General features: G+C 46.6%; 1 long non-coding RNA gene across 1 annotated transcript, besides 7 other annotated features; it reads right to left on the bottom strand.

Annotated features, from left to right (window-relative positions):
* Positions 1-955: 955 nt before the first annotated feature.
* LINC02988 (long intergenic non-protein coding RNA 2988) lies at positions 956-21,456 on the bottom strand. Its single transcript, NR_135098.1, has 4 exons — positions 21,374-21,456; positions 17,882-17,988; positions 8,370-8,454; positions 956-1,272 (listed from the first exon to the last, which is right to left on the bottom strand). It is a non-coding gene; the product is annotated as a long intergenic non-protein coding RNA 2988 (long non-coding RNA).
* Positions 8,541-8,835: a silencer, noted in NCBI's record as "tiled region #9169; K562 Repressive non-DNase unmatched - State 7:EnhWF". NCBI's record gives its function as "represses a minimal TATA promoter and a strong SV40 promoter by Sharpr-MPRA in K562 cells {active_cell/tissue: K562}" and the evidence as "EXISTENCE:reporter gene assay evidence [ECO:0000049][PMID:27701403]".
* Positions 16,722-16,991: an enhancer, noted in NCBI's record as "active region_1673". NCBI's record gives its function as "activates an Ori minimal core promoter by ATAC-STARR-seq in GM12878 lymphoblastoid cells {active_cell/tissue: GM12878}" and the evidence as "EXISTENCE:reporter gene assay evidence [ECO:0000049][PMID:35858748]".
* Positions 17,172-17,221: an enhancer, noted in NCBI's record as "active region_1672". NCBI's record gives its function as "activates an Ori minimal core promoter by ATAC-STARR-seq in GM12878 lymphoblastoid cells {active_cell/tissue: GM12878}" and the evidence as "EXISTENCE:reporter gene assay evidence [ECO:0000049][PMID:35858748]".
* Positions 18,849-19,038: an enhancer, noted in NCBI's record as "active region_1671". NCBI's record gives its function as "activates an Ori minimal core promoter by ATAC-STARR-seq in GM12878 lymphoblastoid cells {active_cell/tissue: GM12878}" and the evidence as "EXISTENCE:reporter gene assay evidence [ECO:0000049][PMID:35858748]".
* Positions 20,049-20,118: a silencer, noted in NCBI's record as "silent region_1298". NCBI's record gives its function as "represses an Ori minimal core promoter by ATAC-STARR-seq in GM12878 lymphoblastoid cells {active_cell/tissue: GM12878}" and the evidence as "EXISTENCE:reporter gene assay evidence [ECO:0000049][PMID:35858748]".
* Positions 20,707-20,776: a silencer, noted in NCBI's record as "silent region_1297". NCBI's record gives its function as "represses an Ori minimal core promoter by ATAC-STARR-seq in GM12878 lymphoblastoid cells {active_cell/tissue: GM12878}" and the evidence as "EXISTENCE:reporter gene assay evidence [ECO:0000049][PMID:35858748]".
* Positions 21,387-21,696: an enhancer, noted in NCBI's record as "active region_1670". NCBI's record gives its function as "activates an Ori minimal core promoter by ATAC-STARR-seq in GM12878 lymphoblastoid cells {active_cell/tissue: GM12878}" and the evidence as "EXISTENCE:reporter gene assay evidence [ECO:0000049][PMID:35858748]".

Raw genomic sequence — 22,099 nt, 5'->3', positions numbered from 1 at the left:
ACATGGTCACTTGGCTTACTTGGTAGGAACGTGGGGGATCTGGGTGGTGGGGCCGAGGCAGTTTCCCCAACAAATCACTGGTACGGCATGAATGCGTTTGTTTTCTGAATGAGAATCTAAGTGCTGCCACAAAAAAGGCATGCTGGGGTAGAAGAAATAAGGTGAATTTGAAGCCGACAATTGAAATCATTATTGATAGTTTCCTAGTTTTCCTGAAGGTTGATCTGGAGAGATGGAAGTCTAAGCTAAGGAATAATAGATCTGTATCAGTGAAGTTGTAGAGTCACTTGTAGGCTCTGAGGGTCTGTCCCAGGGAAGATACAATGATCCATGGTGTGTTGGTTTGGTATAGAAATGCCAGGGCCAGGCAAGCTCTTCATCCGTGGTTTTTATTCAGGTATTAATAGAGCTCCTAGTATGTGTCTGGCCTTGAGAAGGGATGTGGCTTGTGTTTCTGCACTTTGAGGAGTTTCGAGTCATAAACCCATAGACCACGGAAGATCCTTAGAGATCGGCAGTCCTCCTCTTACCCTGCAGGAAGCACCAAGGCCCAGAACATTGGCTTGCTCAAGGTTACACAGAGAGTTAGTGGCGGCCTCTTGAGAGGCCAGATCTTTTTTTTTTTTTTTTGAGACGGAGTCTTGCTCTGTCGCTCAGGCTGGAGTGCAATGGCCCGATCTCGGCTCACTGCAACCTCCGCCTCCCAGGTGCAGGCGATTCTCATGCCTCAGTCTCCCGAGCAGCTGGGATTACAGGCGCCCACCATGACGCTTGACTAATTTTTCTATTTTTAGTAGAGACAGGGTTTCACCATGTTGTCCAGGCTGGTCTCGAACTCTTGAGCTCAGGTGATCCGCCCGCCTCAGCCTCCCAAAGTACTGGGATTACATGCATGAGCCACCGCGCCTGGCCTGGAAGCCAGATCTTTTTACTCCCAGTTTGGTATTTTTCCATTCAACTACCGTTGAAAACGCCTCATAGTTGTTAGAGAACAGTTCCAGAGAATATATAATTCAGTGTTAAATTGAATAATCAACTGTTACTGCATAGGGGGAGAGTTCATTGTTCACTGGAACTATCTGGAAGTGTGACAGATTTTGAAGAATGGGAATGGTGTGGACATTCCAAAAGGACCAGAAACCTTGTCTCTGTTCTGTGTTGTTTGGGGATGTCCATGAAGAAATGTATAACCCTCAATCCAAGTGTGAAGCCTTTGCACATGCTGTGGGAGCAGGCGTGTTCAGGGAGTGCCCCTGCTGAGCATCCTGCAGACTGATAGGGAGAGAGACATATTGTGTAGAGACCACTTTCTCCCCAAGCAAAACCAAAGCAAGGTGGGGTGGAGGACCCAGGGTGGGAGGGGAAGTGGAGTCCAAGTGATTTACAGGTTTTCATTACACATTTGAGGATGAACCTAGGTCGCTAGAACTTTGACTCAATGACAGAAGGGGCCTTTGTGGAGGTCTTGATGTAAAAAACACGAGTCACCTCTCAGAACTTCTGCATAGCTGCTAGAAGTTAGTTCTCAACCTTAAAGTTCCTTCTTTTTCTAGAGGATCGCTGAAAGCAAAAGTAACAATCTAAACCATCTGCCACTTAAATAAGAGGAGATTTATTGCTTTTAATAGAAAGGATGCTTGTTCCAACAGAAGGGTATGGCTCAGAGAAGCAAGCCTGGCTGGGCACGGTGGCTCACGCCTCTAATCCCAGGACTTTGGGAGGCGGAGGTGCGTGGATCACCTGAGGCCAGGAGTTCGAGACCAGCCTGACCAACATGGCGAAACCCCATCTCTACAAAAAAAGACAAAAAATAATTAGCCGGGTGTGATGGTACACCTGTATAGTTCCAGCTACCTGGGAGGCTGAGGTACGAGAATTGCTTGAACCTGGGAGGTGGAGGTTACAGTGAGCCGAGATCGCACCACTGCACTCCAGCCCGGGCAACAGAATGAGACTGTCTCAAAAAAAAAAAAGAGGCAGCTGCGGCTTCATCTCTTTGGCCTTCCTGAGCATATATTCTGGTCACTGCTCTGCCGTCAAGCTGTGGAGTAGGGGGGATCCCTAAAGAGCAAACAGCAGGTATGAGTGTTAGAGACCAGAGACAGCAATGCTGATTCAGCGCATAAAGTTCACCAATGTGCAGTGTGGCTGGAGTTTAGAGCATGGGGCAGCCCTGAGGTGTCTATAAGGGGAATGGAGAGGAAGGACAAGGCCAAAGAAAGAAGCGACTAGGATCACAGAGGCCCTGTAAACCGTGTTAAAGAAGGTGGACTCTAACTCAAGGGCAGTGGGGACTATAAATATCAGATTTAAAATTTTAATTTTTTTTTTTTTGATATGGAGTCTTGCTCTTGTTGCCCAGGCTGGAGTGCTATGGCATGATCTGGGTTCACTGCAACCTCTGCCTCCCAGGTTCAAGCAATTCTCCTGCTTCAGCCTCCCGAGTAGCTGGGATTACAGGTGCCTACCACCATGCCTGGCTAATTTTTTCTTTTTCTTTTTTTTTCCGTATTTTTAATAGAGACAGGGTTTCATCATGTTGGCCAGGCTGGTCTCAAACTCCTGACCTCAGGTGATATGCCCGCCTCGGCTTCCTAAAGTGTTGGGATTACAGGCGTGAGCCACTGCGCCAAGCCAGATTTAAAATTTTAGATCACTCTAATTGCAGTGTGGGCATAAGAAACAGTAGAGTTAGTGACACTAATTAGAAGACTGTTGCAGTCGTTGGAGAGAGAGGGGTTGATGGCCTGAAACTGTAGAGGCAAAACCATGAGTAGCAATGTTGGCACTCAGGGCAAACAACTCAAAATTGACCTTCAAACAGCTCTGTAATGCAGGATACAGCCAGGTGTGACTGGTAATATGCCTTTTGATAGTTTTCAATTTAACCAAATGGTCTGGATAACCAGGTGTTTTTTTTTTTTAAACAATTATGTTTTAAAGGAAACATGCCCCTTGAGATTATGGAATTCAGGAGCAAAGCACAGTCCACTCCTGTAGTTGGGCTGGGGCAGAGGCAGTGGGAAGGGGGTGGTAATCAGATTTGGGAGATACTTAGGAAGTAGGGTGGACAAGTAAAGCTTTTGGTAGAAAAACATGTTTAGTTAAAGTTGTTTTTGTTTTGTTTGAATTGAATTAGTAATATATGCCATGGTAAAATTCAAACAGCACTAAAGGAATACAATGAAAAGTGTCTCCTTAACCAGAGTCAGCCATTCTTAACAGTTCTTGTGTATTCTAGAGCTTTTTGTGCCACTGTAAGCCTATGTTTAATATTTATTTTTTATAAAAATTGGAACATACTATACACCTTGCTCTTCCCTTTACTAATTCACTTAACATTATATTTTGGCAGTCTTGCTATATCTATTTTTGGTTTGTTTCTAAAGAGACAGGGCCTTGGTCTATTGCTCAGGCTGGATTGCAGTGGTGCAATCATAGCTCACTGTAACCCCAGACTTCCTCCTGCTCCTGCCTCCAAGTAGCTATAACTACAGGAGTGTGCCACCATGCCCATCTAATTTTTAAATTTTTTATAGAGATGGGCTCTCCCTATGTTGCCCAGGCTGGTCTCAAACCCTGGCCTCAAGTGATCCTCCTGCATTGGCCTCCCAGAGCACTGGGATTACAGGTGTGAGCCACCATGTCCTGTCTACTTTGTTCTTTTAATAGTCCATTGTTTGAATGTGTGCTCTCATTATTTATTTAAACTAGTCTCCTTTTTTTTTTTTTTTTTTTTGAGACAGGGTCTCGCTGTATTTCTCAGGCTGGAGTGCAGTGGCGTGATCTCGGCTCACTGCAACCTCTGCCTCCTGAGGTCAAAGTATCCTCCCACTTCAGCCTCCTGATTAGCTGAGACTACAGGTGTGTGCCAACACACCCAGCTAATCTTTGTATTTCTTTTTAGAGTCGGAGTTTCACCCTGTTGCTCAGGCTGGTTTCAAACTCCTGGGCTCAAGCGATCCACCTGTCTCAGCCTCCCAAAGTGCTAGGATTACAGGTGTGAGTCCAGCCAAATTGGTCTCCAAATTGATGTACATTGGGGCTGTTTCTAATTTTTGATATTTGAGTTAGATTTTTTAAAATTAGCTTTTAAATAAGGGAAGAGACACAAAATAATGAAGGAAGAATTCTAGGTGGTGAAAAAGATTTATACATAAATAGGGACCACTAGTGTCTTTGTGTCTGACGGACTACTCTTGACTCGCCTAGGCCATAGGATGAACATATTTATGAGGAGGGAGGTGGGAGAGTAGTGGGTGTTTCTGCAAACCCTTGAGTCTATGTGTAGAATTGGGATGTGACTTAAGAACTGGGCATTTCTAACAGGGTCAGAGTGAAGCTGGCTATAGCCACTTCTTCTCCAATTAAAGATCTTTCAGGGGAGCAGGCTGCCACAGCTGTGAACATTGATCATACTCCGCTCCAGTAAAAATGCCTTCCTGCCCGTGCACAGACGTCACCCTGTTGTATCCTAAATCCACCTGTTGTCATAGTTGTTTCTCTGGGAACCCCAGCCATAGTAAGAAATATGAAGTACTGGCCGGGCGCGGTGGCTTATGCCTGTAATCCCAGAATGTTGGGAGGCCGAGGCAGGTGGATCACAAGGTCAGGAGTTTGAGACCAGCCTGGCCAACTTGGTGAAACGCTGTCTCTACTAAAAATACAAAAATTAGCCGGGCACGGTGGCATGCACCTATAAACCCAGCTACTTGGGAGGCTGAGGCAGGAGAATTGCTGGAACCAGGGAGGTGGAGGTTACAGTGAACTGAGATTGTGCCACTACACTCCAGCCTGGGTGACAGAGTGAGACTCCGTCTAACAAAAAAAAAAAAAAAAAGAGAAAAGAAGTATTTGTGAAAGAAAATGTTTGCTGGCTTGGGTAGAAAGTTGTGTCAGGGAGGAATGAGAAATGGGCCATTTGTTTAAGGCCACCCCCGACTAGCTCTTCCTTTTCTTTTTTTTTTTTTTTTTTTTTTTTGAGACGGAGTTTCATTCTTGTTGCCCAGGCTGGAGTGCAACGGTCTGATCTCGGCTCACAGCAACCACTGCCTCCTGGGTTCAAATGATTCTCCTGCCTCAGCCTCCCGAGTTACAGGCATGCAACACCACGCCCAGATAATTTTTTCTTTTTTTGTATTTTTAGTAGAGATGGGGTTTCTCCATGTTGGTCAGGCTGGTCTCAAGCTCCTGACTTCAGGTGATCCACCTGCCTCAGCCTCCCAAAGTGTTGGGATTACAGGTGTGAGCCACGCGCCCGGCCAGCTCTTCCTTTTCATGTAAGCATGCTCTTAACTTTTCTGCTGGAGTTGGAGAAATTTGTTTTGATGCAGCCATCTGCCAGTTGCATAATCTTGGGTATGTTTCAACATCTCCAAGCTTCAGTTCCCCATCAGTCAAATGGGCATCATAATTCCCACTTGGCACAGTGTTGGGAAGATTTATTGAGCCAATGTATGTGAAAGGGCCTATGTTTCATTTTACTTTTTTGCAAGGCCTTGTCACAATGGAGTTCCTAAGGCAATGTGTAATCCAACCCAAGATAATAGATACCAAAATGTTCTATTCTTTCCTGGGATGTGACTGCCAATGTTAGCCTCCCATACTCTCAGCCTGTGTGCTTTACTGAAACTGTCTCTGAAAGCTCATCACCTTCAGGTAATTCATACAAGATTTTTTTACATTTGTATAGTACTTTATAGCTGTCACAGAGACCTTAGCAACAATCATCTAATTTGAACCCCCTAGCAAACCTTCTGGGGCAAGGCACATTTTATCACCATGTTACATATAACATAAACGAGGCTCAGAGAGAATGATATAAAGAAACTGAGGGCCGGGCACAGTGGCTCACACCTGTAATCCCAGCATTTTGGGAGGCCAAGGTGGGAGGATCACTTGAGGTCAGGAGTTCAAGACCATCCTGGCCAACATGGTGAAACCCCGTCTCTACCAAAAATATGAAAGTTAGTCAGGTGTGGTGGCACACGCATGTAATCCCAGCTACTCATGAGGCTGAGGCATGAGAATTCCTTGAGCCCAGGAGGCGGAGACTGCAGTGAGCTGAGATCGCACCACTGCACTCCAGCCTGGGCGAGAGTGAGACCTTGTCTCAAAAAAAAAAAAAGATCCAGGTGCCATGTCTCATGTCTGTAATCCCAGCACTTTGGGAGGCTGAGATGGGTGGATCACCTGAGGTCAGAAGTTCGAGAGCAGCCTGGCCAACATGGTGAAACCCCGTCTCTAGTAAAAATACAAAAATTAGCCGGGCATGGTGGCAGGTGCCTGTAATCCCAGCTACTCAGGAGGCTGAGGCAGAAAAATCGCTTCAACCTAGGAGGTGGAGGTTGCAGTGAGCCGAGATCGTGCCATTGCACTCTGGCCTGGGCAACGGAGTAAGACTCTTGTCTACAAAAAAAAAAAAAGAAAAAAAAAGAAACTGAAGCTCAAAGAAGACAAATAATAAACAGCAGAGACCAGGAGTAGATTACTTCTAGACTACTTCAAGACTAAAGAGATGAGAGGTACCTTCCCTGACCTCAATCTGCCTAGGTTTAGAATTCTTGAGTCTGTTTCCCCAATCATGTTTTGCATCCTAGTAAAATGCATGCCACTTCTAAAATAATTTTTCTGTTGAAATAATAACATCAGCAGGCCGGGCGCGGTGGGTCACACCTGTAATCTCAGCACTTTGGGAGGCCGAGGTAGGTGGATCACCTGAGGCCAGGAGTTCGAGGCCAGTCTGGACAACATGGCGAAACCCTGTCTCTACTAAAAACACACAAATTAGCTGGGTATGGTGGTGGGTGCCTGTAGTTCCAGCTACTTGGGAGGCTGAGGCAGGATAATCATTTCAGCCTGGGAGGCAGAGGTTGCAGTGAGCTGAGATGGCACCACGGCACTCCAGCCTGGGTGACAGAGTGAGACTCCGTCTCAAAACAGCAACAACAAAAAGAAATAATAACATCAGCAAAATACTTCATCGTTTGTAAAACACCTTAAAATTGATGGATTCATTTGATTCTTACAGTAGCCTCCTGGGTAAGTAGAGCAAACATGAGTTATTCTGTTTTTCAGATGAGGAAATAGATGTGAGAATTGAGACCTGCCCAATGTCAAACAACCAAGGAGCAGAGCTGGAACGGGAAACTGACTTTCTGGGCAGCAACTTCAATGCCTTCTTATAGGTTCATTATTGTTGTTATACTTTTATTATGCTTCTATTGTGCTGTGTAATTTTTTTTTTTTTTGAGATGGAGTCTCGCTGTCGCCCAGGCTGGAGTGCAGTGCCACGATCTCGGCTCACTGCAGGCTCTGTCCCCCGGGGTTTACGCCATTCTCCTGCCTCAGCCTCCCGAGTAGCTGGGACTACAGGTGCCCGCCACCTCTCCCGGCTAATTTTTTGTATTTTTAGTAGAGACAGGGTTTCACCGTGTTAGCCAGGATGGTCTCGATCTCCTGACCTCGTGATCCGCCCACCTCGGGTAATTTTTTTTAAAAATTCAAATTAGTTAACCTCTTGTAGACATTCATTAAAATACATTTGTTGAGCACCTGTGTAAACTGCTCACCATCTAGTTGGGAGAAAGGTAAATAAACAGTTACAAAAACAAAACATACTTTGCAATTTGGAGACTTAATAAATGTTTTTGATGACAGTGTGATGACAGCTTGTACTCCAAAATTAATAATCACAATGAAGGCTGGGCGTGGTGGATCAAGCCTATAATCCCAGCACTTTGGGAGGCTTAGGTAAGCAGATCATGAGGTTAGGAGTTCGAGAACAGCCTGGCCAACATGGTGAAACCCAATCTCTACTAAAAATACAAAAAAATTAGCCAGGTGTGATGGCGCATGCCTGTAATCCCAGCTACTTAGGAGGCTGAGGCAGGAAAATCGCTTGAACCCAGGAGGCGGAGGGTGCAGTGAGCAGAGATCATGCCACTGCACTCCAGCCTGGGCAACAGAGCGAGACTCCATCTCAAACAAACGAACAAAAAACCCGCAATGGACTTTTGTGAAATAAGAGAGAAAGCAGCCACACGTTTATATACCCATGTGCATAAGCTCCCACCACACACCAGTGAAATCATCTGAATTTTACATTTCAATAAGTAACTGGCACCTTCTTGGCATATTAATCTGTAGGAAATTATAGGCTGCAGTGTTGTGGTATATTATCAGAGAATGTCAAGTAGATTACAGTATTATGTTACTTTGACATCACTGCCCGGCATTGCTTTGGTCTTTTCCTTACTAACAGATACATTTACTAGAACTCATTTCAATGTCATGTAAAAAAAGATAATTTATAATAATTTCCATTGTAAACAGAATATTTCTTGCTTGATCATAAAGACTTCACTTACCTTCTGTCCTCTTGCTGTTTGGGGTCATGATTGGTGTCTGCTCACCCTTCTCGGTTCTCCAGAGCAACATGTGACCTGAAGCCAACTTGGAAAGAGAAGAAACAGGTCAAAGAAGAGAGCAAAGATTAAACAGAACAGTGTGTTATAGCACTCGATCTCGAATTAAAAAAAACAAAAGGTAAAACTCCCCTGTGTAGTGAAGAATTGATTTTACCCAAAGAGAGGTCTGGCTTTGGCCCTCGGCTACTGGGAGATGATCTCTAGGCCTCTGGAATGTCCTGCCCAATAGGAATGTCATTGTTTGCCTGAGGAGTTTGGCCACCAGATGCTCAAATGATGTGATTTATAATGGGGGCTCCGAAACACGCCATATCAGTTCCAGCCCCCATAGGGACTGGAGAGCAAAGGTCAGTCATGCAGGCAGCATGTGGTCAAGCTCCAGCAAGGGCTCTGGACACCAAAGACTCGGGCAAGCTTTCCTGGTGGCAGCACTCGCAAGCACTGCCACACCTCGTAGCAGGGAGGGGCAGTGATGTCTGGAACTCCACAGGAGAAGGTGCCCAAAGCTTCCCGTGTAGCTCTTCCCAGACTTTGCCCTCTGTATCTCTTCTCTTGGCTGGTTCTGATTTGTACCCTTTTGCTGCAATAAAAGTTTAACTTATCATAAGTATAGTGCTTTCCTGAGTTCTGTGAGTCATTGTAGCAAATTATCAAACCTGCAGGGGTAGTGGAACCAACCCCTGAACTGGCTACTGGTGTCTGAAGTGAGAGTGGCCTGAAGTGGAGGACTGTTCCTTACCCTGTGAAGTCTGGCCTGAATCCAGGCAGTTGGGGTCAGACATCACTGCATTTCCCAAAGCCTGCTTTTAGATTTTGATTTTGACACTTTTTGACACTTTCTACCTTGGTTACTTCTCTCGATTTCATTTTTTTTTTTTTTTTTTTTTTAAGTACAGATTCTTGCTCTGTCACCCAGGCTGGAGTGCAATGGCACGATCTCAGCTCACTGCAACCTCCGCCTCCCAGGTTCACCTGATTCTCCTGCCTGAGCCTCCCGAGTAGCTGGGGTTATAGGTGCCCGCCACCACGCCCGGCTAATTTTTTTTGTATTTTTAGTAGAGATGGAGTTTCACCATGTTGGCCAGGCTGGTCTCAAACTCCTGACCTCAAGTGATCCACCCGCCTCGGCCTTCCAAAGTGCTGGGATTACAGGCGTGAGCCACCATGCCTGGCCGGCTTCAATTTTTCTAATCCTTAATTTGGGGGTCATACTTGTCCTATTTTCTTCACAGGGTTAATTATGAAGATCAAAAATTAAATAGTGTGTGTGTGAGAGAGCTATTGATGGCAAACAAGAACATGCTATCTAAAACTGTAAAGGACCATCAAAAGGTATTACTTTTATTACAATGGAACTAAATGGTGGGGATAATGTGGTGGAGATGTACATGTGTTAGGTAAGGCTTTCTTCAATCATTCATTACACAAATAAAGATTGAGTTTAGGTGTGGGGAGATAAGTCAGGGCCCCACCCTGTGCGGGCTTCTATTCTACCCAGGGAGAGAGAAAATAAAGAGGCAACTGAGGAGAATAATTAGACTGTGGTCATTGTTGTGATGGAAGCAGAATGATAAGGTAACAATTCTGTTGGAAGGGGTGCCTCTCAAGACAGAGCAGCCAGAGAAGGCTCATAAGAACTGATGTTTGGATAAAGAAGTTAAAAAAGAGAACAAGGGTATTTTAGGCAGAAGGAATAGCAAGGGCAAAGGTCCTGAGGTGGGAAAGAGCTTGGCGTGTGTACAGAACAGAAAAGAGATCTGTGTGTCTGGCCTGGGGATAAGGTTGGAGATATGCATGAGTCAGAAGAAGAAGGACCTTTTTTTTTCCCTTTTTCTTTTTTGAGACAAGCTCTCACTCTGTCGCCCAGACTGGAGTGCAGTGGGACAATCTTGATTCACTGCATCCTTGACCTCCCAGGCTCAAGTGGTCCTCCCACCTCAGCCTCCCAAGTAGCTGGGACTATAGGTATGCATCACCACGCCTGGCTATTTATTTGTATTTTTAGTAGAGATGAGGTTTTGCCATGTTGTGCAGGCTGGTCTCAAATTCCTGGGCTCAAGCTATCTGCCTGCCTCAGCCTTCCAAAGTGCTGGGATTACAGGCATGAGCCACTGTGCTTGGCAGAGAAGGGCCTTATTTGCCAAAGAAAATATTTGGATTTTTAAGAGTGACATGAAATTAGGGTGGTTTTAAGTAGTCAAGTGACATGAACTGCTTTAAGAAGACACTCCAGGCTGGGCGTGGTGGCTCACACCTGTAATCCCAGCACTTTGGGAGGCTGAGGCTGGCAGATCACCTGAAGTCGGAGTTCAAGACCAGCCTGACCAACATGGAGAAACCTCGTCTCTACTAAAAAAAAAAAAATACAAAATTAGCCGGGCATGATGGCACATATACCTGTAATCCCAGCTACTCGGGAGGCTGAGGCAGGAGAATCACTTGAACCTGGGAGGCGGAGGTTGTGATGAGCCGAGATTACACCATGGCCCTCCAGCCTGGACAACAAGAGCGAAACTCTGTCACACACACACACACACACACACACACACACACACACAAACAAAAACAAAAACAAAAACACCCACACACATACAAGAAGACACTCCAGCTGCTGAATGGGGATGAGAGGAGGCAAAGAGACATCACTAGACTATGTAGGGAAGGAGCTGGCAGAGGAGAGATGGAGAAATGGTCATATTCCAGCTATGCTTTAAGGTAGAACCAAAAAGACTTGCTGATGGATTAGATGTTGGGGATGGGAAAGACAAGAGGAAGAAAGGTTTGTCAGCTGCCTCCTCTGAGAAGCAGATACTGAATGAGGAGTGTAAGAGGCCTAAGAGGGAGTACCTATGAGAGGGGACAGGAAGCAGGGTTCAACAAGGAGAGCCTCAGACTGAAATGCAGATAGAATCTTGGGCAACATATTGGGGAACTCCAGAGCAAAGGTGTTTCATTAGAGGGGTTCGCATAGGGCAGAAATGTCCAGGCCCTAAGAACCCCTCCACTCTGCTCAGTCACTGGCCAGAGCCTGCTGAGAGCAGTGTGCCTTGGCTGGAAAACTGAGACAGATCCCTCAGCACTAACAGCTGGAGGCTGACAGCTAACTGTCCTCCTTGCAGCTGAGCAGCAAGTTCTTTCTTGAAGACAAATCCAAGTGGGGCACCTTCATGGCTACCACAGTCTTCCTTTTGTACCATGTGGATCTACTTTCCACACACATTGAGGGGTAGCTCTTCCGGGGTTTCAATGGGCTCTTTTCTTGAAGGGACTTAGTTAAGGGAGGTCAGTGGGTTAACCACAGGCTGTTGCTGCAGTTGGTCTTGCAATAGGTAACATCATTTCCCTCCTCCATTATCCATTCTAAATTCCACTCTCCCTCTCTGCTACAGATGACACCACTGTCATTTCTGCTGGTCTCGATAGCCTACCAGGTGGCGTAGCACAACCCTGATTCCTGAGAGGCTCTGAGTCCCTGATCACGTCACCCTTCACAGGCTGGGCTGCACTTGCCATTCAGGTCACCATTGGGCATGAAAGGTATCATCAAGAGGTGCTCAAGTGGCTGACCTGAGTTTCACACATATTCCTGCCTTATTGTCCAAGAGCAGTTCTAGCTCCTTTTGTTGATCAGGCTCTATATCCCTGCCCCAGGCCCACACAAAGCTGCACCCTCTAGAATACAGGCTGGAGCACTATTCCCAGGCATGGAATATGCTTGCTGCCAGAACCCTCCAGGCATTTTAGTTCCTTCTTTGTGCATGCAAGACGCAGCATTTTGTCTTTTGTTTCAGAGGCAACGTCCTAGTACACCCTTTACCACTGGATTCCAAAAAACTTTATGGGAGGGGCAAGCCCTGGAATCTTCAGAGAGTTTATGTCTCATTTTCTAGAGTGCATGTGTCTTCCCGAGGCTTTCAGGTGTCAGCCACCTCTTGCTATTCTCCCAAATTAGCCTAATGTCATTGATGAATGGAGCATTGTGATATTCTGTGGGAAGTCCAGATGATCTAGATCTTTTCTGAATGTATCATGACATAGATTGGGAGAGTTAACAACAACCCTGGGGGCCGGGGGAATCTAAATGAATATTGTCATCCAGTCCATGTGAATGCTGTTTCTGATTCTCTTTCTTGATCGAGATAAAGAAGAATGCATTTGCCAAATCAATGGCCAAATGTCATGTACTTGAAGCCATATTTATATAATCTAGCAATGACACCACACCCTGCATGATCACTCGGGGCTTGAGCTGAGCTAGGAATCGTCTATGGTTATTTCCCAGGATCCATGTGTTTTCTGCAGGGGCCAGGCTGGTGAATTAAACAGAGGTATGACACAGACCACAATCCTTGCATCCTTGAGGTACTTAAGGGTGGCAATGATCTCTATCTTCCCTCTGGAATGAGATATTATTTTGTATTTGCTATCTTGGCTGGGTGAAGGGGGACGGACACAATTTCAGAGGCTTCCACTGACCTTCCCCACATGATAGCTCTTATATCATAAAGCAGGGGCCCCACATCGGGGCTTCCCCAACTGCTGAATATACCAATCCCAGTTATACACTCAGGGACTGGGGCAATGACCACCAGGTGGAGCCACGGCCCCGGTGGACCCACTTGAAGCTGGACATCAGCCAGAATCCCCATTTTACCTGACCTATAGCCCATCATTGTAACAGGGGCCATAATGACATTTCAGGTCTTTGAATATCAGTGTCATTTCAGGCCCTGTGTCTAGTGGATATTCCTCCTCTCCCAGGTGACAGTCACCCAGGACTGGTGGAATTATTACAGTGCACACTTGCTGTGATGTTGCAGGGACCTTCCTCTCGGGGACTCTGTCACATTTTCCCATTCAATAGATTTCAGGTCTGAAAAATGTCTCAGGTCTAGGAAATGAGAAGGAATCATGACTTTTTTTTTAGTATTCTTAAAACATATATTTTATTTTAAATAGTGATAAAAACATAACATTTTCAGCTGGGTGTGGTGGTGTGCGTTTGTAGTCCCAGCTACTTGGGAGGCTGAAGTGGGAGGATCGCTTGAACCTAGGAGGTCAAGGCTGTAATGAGCCGAGATAGCGCCACTGCACTTCAGCCTGGGCAACAGAGCGAGACCCTGTCCCCAAAAAAGAAAAAAACCACACACAAAACAACATTGATTATCTTAACAATTTGTAAGTGTACAGTTTCATAGTTTTAAGTATATTCACAGTGTTGTGCAGCTGAGCTCTAGAGCTGCTCATCTTGCAACACTGACCCCCCCATACCTATTAAACAACAACTCCAAATTTCTCCCTGCCCCTGGCTCCTGGCAACCACCATTCTACTTTATGTTCCTATGAATCTGACTACTTTAGATACCTCATATAAATAAAATCATACAGTATTTTTGTCTTTTTGTGACTGGCGTGTTTCACTAAGCATAATATCCTCAAGGCTCATCCATGTTGTAGTATGTGACAGGACTTTCTTCCTTTTTAAGGCTGAATAATGTACATTTCCCATTTTATTTATCCTTTCATCCATCAATGGACACTTGAGTTGCTTCCTTTTGGCTGTTGTGAATAACGCTGCTGTGAATATGGGTGTGCAAATATCTCAAGACACTGCTTTCAATACTTTTGAAGTGGGATTGCTGGATCATACGGTAATTCCATTTTTAATTTTTTGGGAACACTCAGACTGTTTTCCACAGCAGCTGCACCATTTTACATTCCCACCAACACTGCACAAGGCTTCCAATTTCTCTACTTCAAGACTTTTTATGGGGGCAACTGTGCTCAGCCTATTCTTGCATTTGTTTGATTTGCCCTTGTTGGCTGTTAATTTTATCCCTAGGGATATCATGTTCTATTAATCAACTTAATTTCCCCTTGACTGGCTTTTTTATTGATTGATTGATTGAGACAAGGTCTCACTCTGTCACAAGGATGGAGTGCAATGGCACCAGCCTAGGAGGCTCACTGCAGCCTCCAACCCCTGGGCTCAAGGGATCCTCCCACCTCAGCCTCCCAAGTAGCTGGAGCTACAGGCACATGCAACTATGCCTGGCTAATTTTTTTTTTTTTTGAGATGGAGTTTTGCTCTGTCGCCCAAGCTGGAGTGCAGTGGCGCGATCTCAGCTCACTGCAAGCTCTGCCTCCCGGGTCACACCATTCTCCTGCCTCAGCCTCCCGAGTAGCTGGGGCTACAGGCGCCCACCACCACGCCCAGCTAATTATTTTTTGTATTTTTAGTAGAGACGGGGTTTCACCATGTTAGCCAGGATGGTCTCGATCTCCTGACCTCGTGATCCGCCCGCCTCGGCCTCCCAAAGTGCTGGGATTTATAGGCGTGAGCCACCGCGCCTGGCCGTGCCTGGCTAATTTCTAATTTTTTTTTTGTAGAGACAGGTCTTACTATGTTGCCCAGGTTGGTCACAAATCCCTGGCCTCAGGTGATCCTCCCACCTTGCACCAGGATTACAGGCATGAACCGTACCTGGTCTTGACTGGCTCTTTGACTTTGCTGGTCATTGAGAGAACTGTGACCTCCTGGCTTCTATTGTTGCCACCTGGCCTTTATTGCTTGGCATTGGGGAGGGGGTCGGTTATTTCCATTGCTATCAATAATCCCAGCTTTGTTATGACCTCTCCTACCTTCATCCCTGGCCCACTGTCTGTCTAGCTCCCATTTTGTTTATTGATGCTGGTGCCCCCCTCACCAATGCTGTGGTAAAGGATGTGTGTCTTCCATGGAACATAATCCCACGGTGAGTCTTTAGACCTCAAATAATACATTCCAACATGTCTACTTTCCTAAACTTTTAAATTTCTTCCTCCACTGCTGATGTGGAGGAAGCATTGAAATTCAAGCATTTCAACTGGGCTGCGTGGGTCATTACTTTTTCAAGGCTTGTAGGAGCACAATAATATTCATATATCTGAACTATTTCGTGGGGTCCTTGCTGGAGTGTAAATCCTGTATCCCAAGAAAGTGCCCCTAAATTAATAAACTTTCTTATCCAGGTTTCTATTCTGATATTCTCAAAACTCTAGGTCCGGCTGGGCACAGTGGCTCACGTCTGGAATCCTAACACTTTGGGAGGCGGAGGCGGGTGGATCACTCGAGGTCAGGAGTTCGAGACCAGTCTGGCCAACATGGTGAAACCCCGTCTCTACTAAAATTACAAAAAATTAGCCGGGCGTGGTGGCAGGTGCCTGTAATCCCAGCTACTAGGGAGGCTGGGGCAGGAGAATCGCTTGAACCCAGGAGGCGGAGGTTGCAGTGAGCCGAGATCGTGCCACGTGCTCCAGCCTGGGGGACAGAGCAAGACTCCATATCAAAAAACAAACAAACAAACAAAAACAAAAAAAAATTCTAGGTCCATGGGAACCTCCCCCGCTCCTGTGGGTACATGCTTGGTTTAGTTCCTTTCTTCCTTGTAAGGCCCAGCACATTCTTGGCTCTGAATTACGTGGTGACTTATGTCCAGTTATTCTGGTAGCCAGAAGAGGAGATGGGGCTGATCTGGTGGGGCACTCCTGTTATGTTTCAGGGAGAGATCTCTGCATTGCCTTTCCTGGGCAGCAGGTGGTGCTAGCTCTTAATAGAGAGGGGTGGGTCCTCTTAGCAGGGTATGTGGGGTCAGAGGAATCTGGGAACCAAAATCTTCAGGGATCTCCACCATCCAAGGTACCAGATGTCCCCATTCTGCGTGTTGGAATCCCAGCCCAGGTATTCTCAGCCACGGCCTTGATCTTGATGGGGCAGATCTACCTTGGCTGAGGGTTCTAGCCACCTGCCTCAGCCTCAGTGGGGTGTTAGTTTTTGAAGCTCCTGGTTGCTATCAATTTCTGAGTTCTGTCTATCTTTTATGGCTCTTCTGTTGCAGGCGATCTCTTTGCTACCAAAGAAGCCCCTGGCCCTCACACTTAGTTTCAGTTGTTTGCTAAGTGCCTTTCCTTATCTTTCTGTACGATACCAGTGCAGCTGAGTAACAGCCAATTCCTTTGTCATTGTGTGCTTTGTTCTCCTGTGCATTTTTGGTGTGTTTTAATTTTAATGTTAAAAATGGACACACTGTTATTGCCCATCCTTATGGGGTACAATTTATCTCTGTACTTTTCAAAAGCCTGAATTGTTTCACTGACCAGGTGGTCCCTGCCATCAGCACATTCTCCTAAATTACCAATGGTGAAAGTTTTTCTTGCTGGAGACTGTTCTGGTCTCTTATTTTTCTGTCAAATTCTGCTTGCAAACTGAAAAGTTTCTTTTTTAGTTCCTCTTTCCTGCAATACCTTACCAATCACAGCTAAGAAAAGCCTGTTGCTACTTTTAACATTCTGCCTGGAAGTCTCTTTAGCTACCTCCAACAAATTTATTAGGTATATTTTCTAGCTCCCAAGATACCACAGGTGACAGTTTTGTGAATGATTCCACCGCCATATAACACGGGTGGTCTTTCTCCCGTCTCTGAGAGCAGTTTTCTCCCTGCTCATCCAGACTCTGTAAGTCTCCTTGCTGCCCTTCTAGGCTGTCTGCTGCTGGGTCCCAAGATCAATGCCACTTGTTTCAGGTTTTAGTTAGGGCAGCATCCCACTTCCAAGAAACAATCTTTGTTTTAGTATCTATTGCTGAGTAACAAACCACCCCAAAACCTAGTGACTTAAGACAGCAATGGTTTGTTAGTTTCTCACACTTCTGGGGGCTGGCCGAGCGGCTGGTCTCTGGTCTTGCTTGTGTGCTGCTCCAGCTGTGTCTGACTGGAGGCTTGGATGCTGGGACAGAGCCATGTGGTTTCATGGTCTCATAGCAAGGATGCTCGCCCAGGCTTCTTAGAAGCACCTGAATTTTAAGAGAGTAAAGGAGTGGAAACTACAAGGCCCTTTAAGGCCTAGGCGCTGGAACGTACACAGCACATGTTCTTTGTTCTATTGGGCAAAACAAGTCACTGGCAAACCCAGATTCAAGCAGCAGTTGGAGAGAAAGCAATACCTCTCAAAAGGGAGGAACAGCAAACTCATATTGCAAAGGAGCCTGGAGTGGGGCTGGTTCACTGAGGATCATTATTTAGTCATTTATTACATTTATAGTACATTTAAGATGCATGTTAGATACCCAGGTAAAGATGTCAAGTTGACACTTAGCTCTAAGTGCCAGAGAGGGAAATTTAGGCTGGAGAAATAAATTTGGGACAACACATCAACATACAGATTTGGTGTGTCTCGGAATCATCCTGCCCTTAGGGTTGCCGGCTGCTGTATAAGTCTGGACTGTGCATGAATTGCGGTACAAGCGGAGTGCGGCCCTCTGCAGCCAGAGCTGGGTGGAGGCTGGGGCAAGAGGAACATTGTGTTTTTGAGTCCACTTCCCTATTTGTGCACAGAGTATTCCACTAGTGTTCTCTTCCCTGCCTCCCCCACTTGATAGAGCCAAAAACATTAGGGATGGTATTAGGACAACTGACCTGCATGCCAAGGACATAGGACAGGAGACTATGCCACTGCCTTGTTTTGCCACTTCAAATCAGGAACCTTAGGAGAAAGGGGCTGTTTGCTGTCATGGCTTTAATATCTGGAGGAAGGGAAAGAAAGAACGGACATGAGCCTACTATTTCTGAAAGAAAGGGGTGATTTCTGAGCCATCCCAAACCAGCAGGAAGGACAGGGGTGATAACCCCAACTTGTTCACAGCAGGAAGCAAAGAGGAGAAGGGATTTGGTGTCGGAGACCATGACAAAGGTCAAGAGTTCTAGTGCTACTTGCCTTTCTATGAGTTACTTTTCCTCATATTAAGTCCTTATGAAAGCCGCCTTATGTCCATGGTTTCTGTAGCTGCACCAGCCTCTACACTTCTGATAGTTCAGGAGGAGTTGGGAATCTGTATTCTCCAATTGCTCCCCAACCTTAATGCACTTAACAAGTGTGTTCTCCACACTTTTTAACCCTCCAAAACCCCGTTTTTAAACTGGTCCTGCTAATTTTTGCATTCTCCCCATCCTTGCTTCCAACCCCAGGGTTGGGGTGAGGTTGGGGTGGGCCATGTACAAGACTTTCTGGCTCTATCTCTCATTTCCTGAGCAGAGCTGGGCTGCACTAATTGACCTCGAGGGTCTCAGCTGTTCTAAGTGGGGTGTTTGTTAGCTCTTGTTAGGCTTGTAATTAGTGCAAGGAATCTAGGTCAGAGGCAACGGGTTGGAGTGATGGTCTCCTGGGGCACGACTAAAGGTGGGGAATAGCAAACAGCCTCCTCATTCTGTGGGTGGGACTTGTGTCACACAGAGACAAATAGACACAGGGTCACATGCAGAAAGGCGGTCAAACTCTGCTGTGTGTGCATGAGTATGTGCATGAGTATGAGTGTGTGTGTGTGTTCGCTCCTGCATTTACTCGGGTTTCTTTCCAACCTCTCCATATATGGCGTGGCTCTAGAGCAGGCTGGGGATTGGCTGCTCCTGTTGGGAGACAGGGAGGTAGTAAGAAAGCAGAAAGAGAAAGGAACCCAGCGTAGAGAAGGGAGTGACGAAGTGGGGGGTGGGGGCAGTAGCTGAGCTTGAGGGTTGCAGAAGTGGGCTGGGACTGCTTGCCTGTGAGGTTTAGATAGAAGAGAGATTCTTAGAGACTCATTTCCTGGGAGAATGAGGCAAATTTATTACTGGCAGAGGGGTTGGGAGAGCGGCTGGGGAAGGAGGCGAGAGCTGTTTCCCCAGGGACAGAGCTCTAGGCTCAGAACCGCATAGTATGTGAGGACCAGGGCAGGAGTTAGAGAAATTTGCACCTTTCTTTTCTCCCTGGTAAACCTATGCTGTGGAGATAGAAGGAAATCAACTCATCAGCGTTCCAGGCCAACACCCCAGACATTCTTCCTAATGGAGGGAGCCGGGACTGCAGTTCCTTTATCCCTCCTCAGGCCCCTGGCTAACAACCTGATGGGGAAGGACAGGAAAAGTTGAGGAAAGTGTCACTGAAATGAGAATTAAGATTTCGTTCTTTACCTGCCTCTACCCCTCACCCCCTCTCAACTCTGTGTCCTGGGTTCCACCCCTTACCCCGTCTCCCCATCCTAGGGCCTCCGGAGGGCACTTCCCTTTGCTTCATCTGTGTAAGAAAAGAAGGGAGCAGAGCGGTTGGGAGTGGAAAGGGAGGGAGAATAAGTGCACCCTGAAAGTGTCTGGGGGCAGCTGTGTGCTGAGAAAGTTGCCCCACACAGCTACTGAGCCAGCCCATTTGCCACGCATCACAGTTACCGGGGGCACGGAAGGGAAATATTGCAGGCAGAGGGGCTAAAATGATGAAGTGAGGGAGGAGAAGCACTGGGAGGAAGGGAAATGAACGTAAGCACCTTCCCATCCTCCTGTCACAGTGCCCAGGTTCAATACAAATGCTTCAACAGAACTCATGCCAGCAGCCTACCACAAGGGTGCACCTTAAGCGATTTTTCTAGTGGGAAGCCTGGTTCCATGCTAAGCTCTAAAGTTCTTGAAGACCAGGGACCATGCTTTCATCCCTTCTGGCTCTCTCCTCTGAAGAGAGAGGTCCAGCACAGCCTGTGGCCTGGATCTAGCTAAGTGACAGTGACCCCACCCCGGTGGCCTCATTCACACAGTGCTCCTTCCAACTGAGCTAGCGGCTCACTGCCCAGAGTCAAACCAGTAACAGTAGCTGCAGTGGTCACTTTCTGACTGACAGGCATTTTCCATATTGTCCTCACCCATCCAATAGCTCTGCAGCTTGCAGATGAAAAAAACTGATACTCGGAAAGCATGTGCCTTGCCCAGAGCCTCATAATCAAGAAGTAACAGAGTTAGAATTTGAATCCAGATCCATCTGGTTTCAAAGCTGGGCTCATTTCACCACCCTAGGGCCTGGATGTTCCAGTAACTGCTGGAGAACTGGAAGCTGTTGGTTTTAGAGCCTGAAGCCCAGGAGCACAGTGCCCAGCTCCTCTCTTACTGTTGTGAGGTCCCCGATCTTTCTTTTCTGCTTCTTTCACCTGTCATTCTCCTCTCTAGTGTCTCCCTCCATCTTCTGGCTCCCCTGGGAGCCACAGATAATTGACATGTTGGGATACACATGTCATTTGTGCTTTTGTCTTTTTTCATTATGTGGGAGCAACAAGGAAGAAAAAAAGAAAAGGAAAAATGCTGGTAAAATACAAAGATAGAGACTTGTAAAAAGAAAGCATAATTCTACCTTAGACTTCAATACTTGTGACAATGGATGGCTCTGCTGACCATGCTTAGGGCTGTGGAGAGTGCAGCTATTTGAAGGACAGGAAGTCTGGAAGCCTGGGTTCTCACCTCATACCCCAAGAGACCATAGAATGACATGAAGGTGGCACTCTTGCACACTTTCCCTCACTCAACTGGGATACACATTCTTCAAGGAAGAGGCTAGGTAACTACAGTCTAGAGCTGGGGACAATCTCCATGACAGAGTGGCAAGGGACTAGAGAGAGCAAGAATTCCTCTGCCCTAGGGATGGTTTAACAGCAGTGATAAGGTCCAGAGAAGAGCTGTGAAGGAAAGAGATGATTTCTGGAAAGGGGACAGAGGCCCCCATTTTGCTTACATGGGTTGTAGGAGTGACGTTAGAGCAGAAGAATGCGGACTGAAGAATCTGTTTCTCCCACAGGTTTTTCCCCCGCTTCCTCCTATCCCATCTTCCTATAACATCGGGGCAGCGTCATGGCCAGGTCTACATGTAACTTGGCCCCGTTTCCTCCCCCTCCTCCCCTTACCTCTAGTGAAGCCCCGCTGCTCTTGGAGGATCAAGCAGCTAGCAAGGCACACTTCAATGTGGCTTTTAACCCCTCATTTACTTGATTCATGAGACTCTGTCCCCTTCTTTCCCAAAATCAAATTATTCCCTTCATAGCTCTTCTGGGGACCTCACCGTTACTAAACCTCATCTCACACACTTCCAAGGAAAGAGTGAACAGTGAGTTGTGTGGGACCTACCACAGACAAGAATGTTGGGAAGCCTGGCAACTTCAGAGGTGGCTGGGAGGGTGGTGGCGTGGGCATCCAGATGCTTTTCTAAAGTGGGGACTTGCTTAGTGATGGAAGAGGTTTGAGGAAGGAGAGGGGGAGGCTACAGGAAACCTCAGCATGGCTGAAAGAGGAACTTGGACAGATGTTTGGTTTTCCCCTTCATCCTACCCAGCTTGCATCACACACCAGTTTCATTCTTAGTTCAGTTCTTCTGTGGGGTCTGTCTCTAGTTCCCCTGTGCTAGGGCCCTGAATCAAATAATGAAACTAGTCTCATCCACTCAAGGTTGGATTTTTTTTTTTTTTTTGAGACGGAGTTTCGCTCTTGTTGCCCAGGCTGGAGTGCAATGGCACAATCTTGGCTTGCTGCAACCTCTGCCTCCCAGGTTCAAGTGATTCTCCTGCCTCAGCCTCCCGCATAGCTGGGATTACAGGCGCCCACCACCATGCCTGGCTAATTTTTTGTATTTTCGGTAGAGACTGGGTTTCATCATGTCGGTCAGGCTGGTCTCAAACTTCTGACCTCAGGTGATCCACCCGCCTTGGCCTCCCAAAGTGCTGGGATTACAGGCGTGAGCCACTGCGCCCGACAAGGGTGGATCTTTGAGTCAAGGTTGGGAAGGGTGTGGAAGATGAAGGGAAGAAACACCTCATGTAAGAAAATCCAGGCAGCTCGATCTCAATGAGAGACTGC

The sequence above is a fragment of the Homo sapiens genome, chromosome 1 (assembly GCF_000001405.40).
Source record: "Homo sapiens chromosome 1, GRCh38.p14 Primary Assembly".
Taxonomy (NCBI): domain Eukaryota; kingdom Metazoa; phylum Chordata; class Mammalia; order Primates; family Hominidae; genus Homo; species Homo sapiens.
This window is presented reverse-complemented; position numbering and strand designations above follow the sequence as displayed.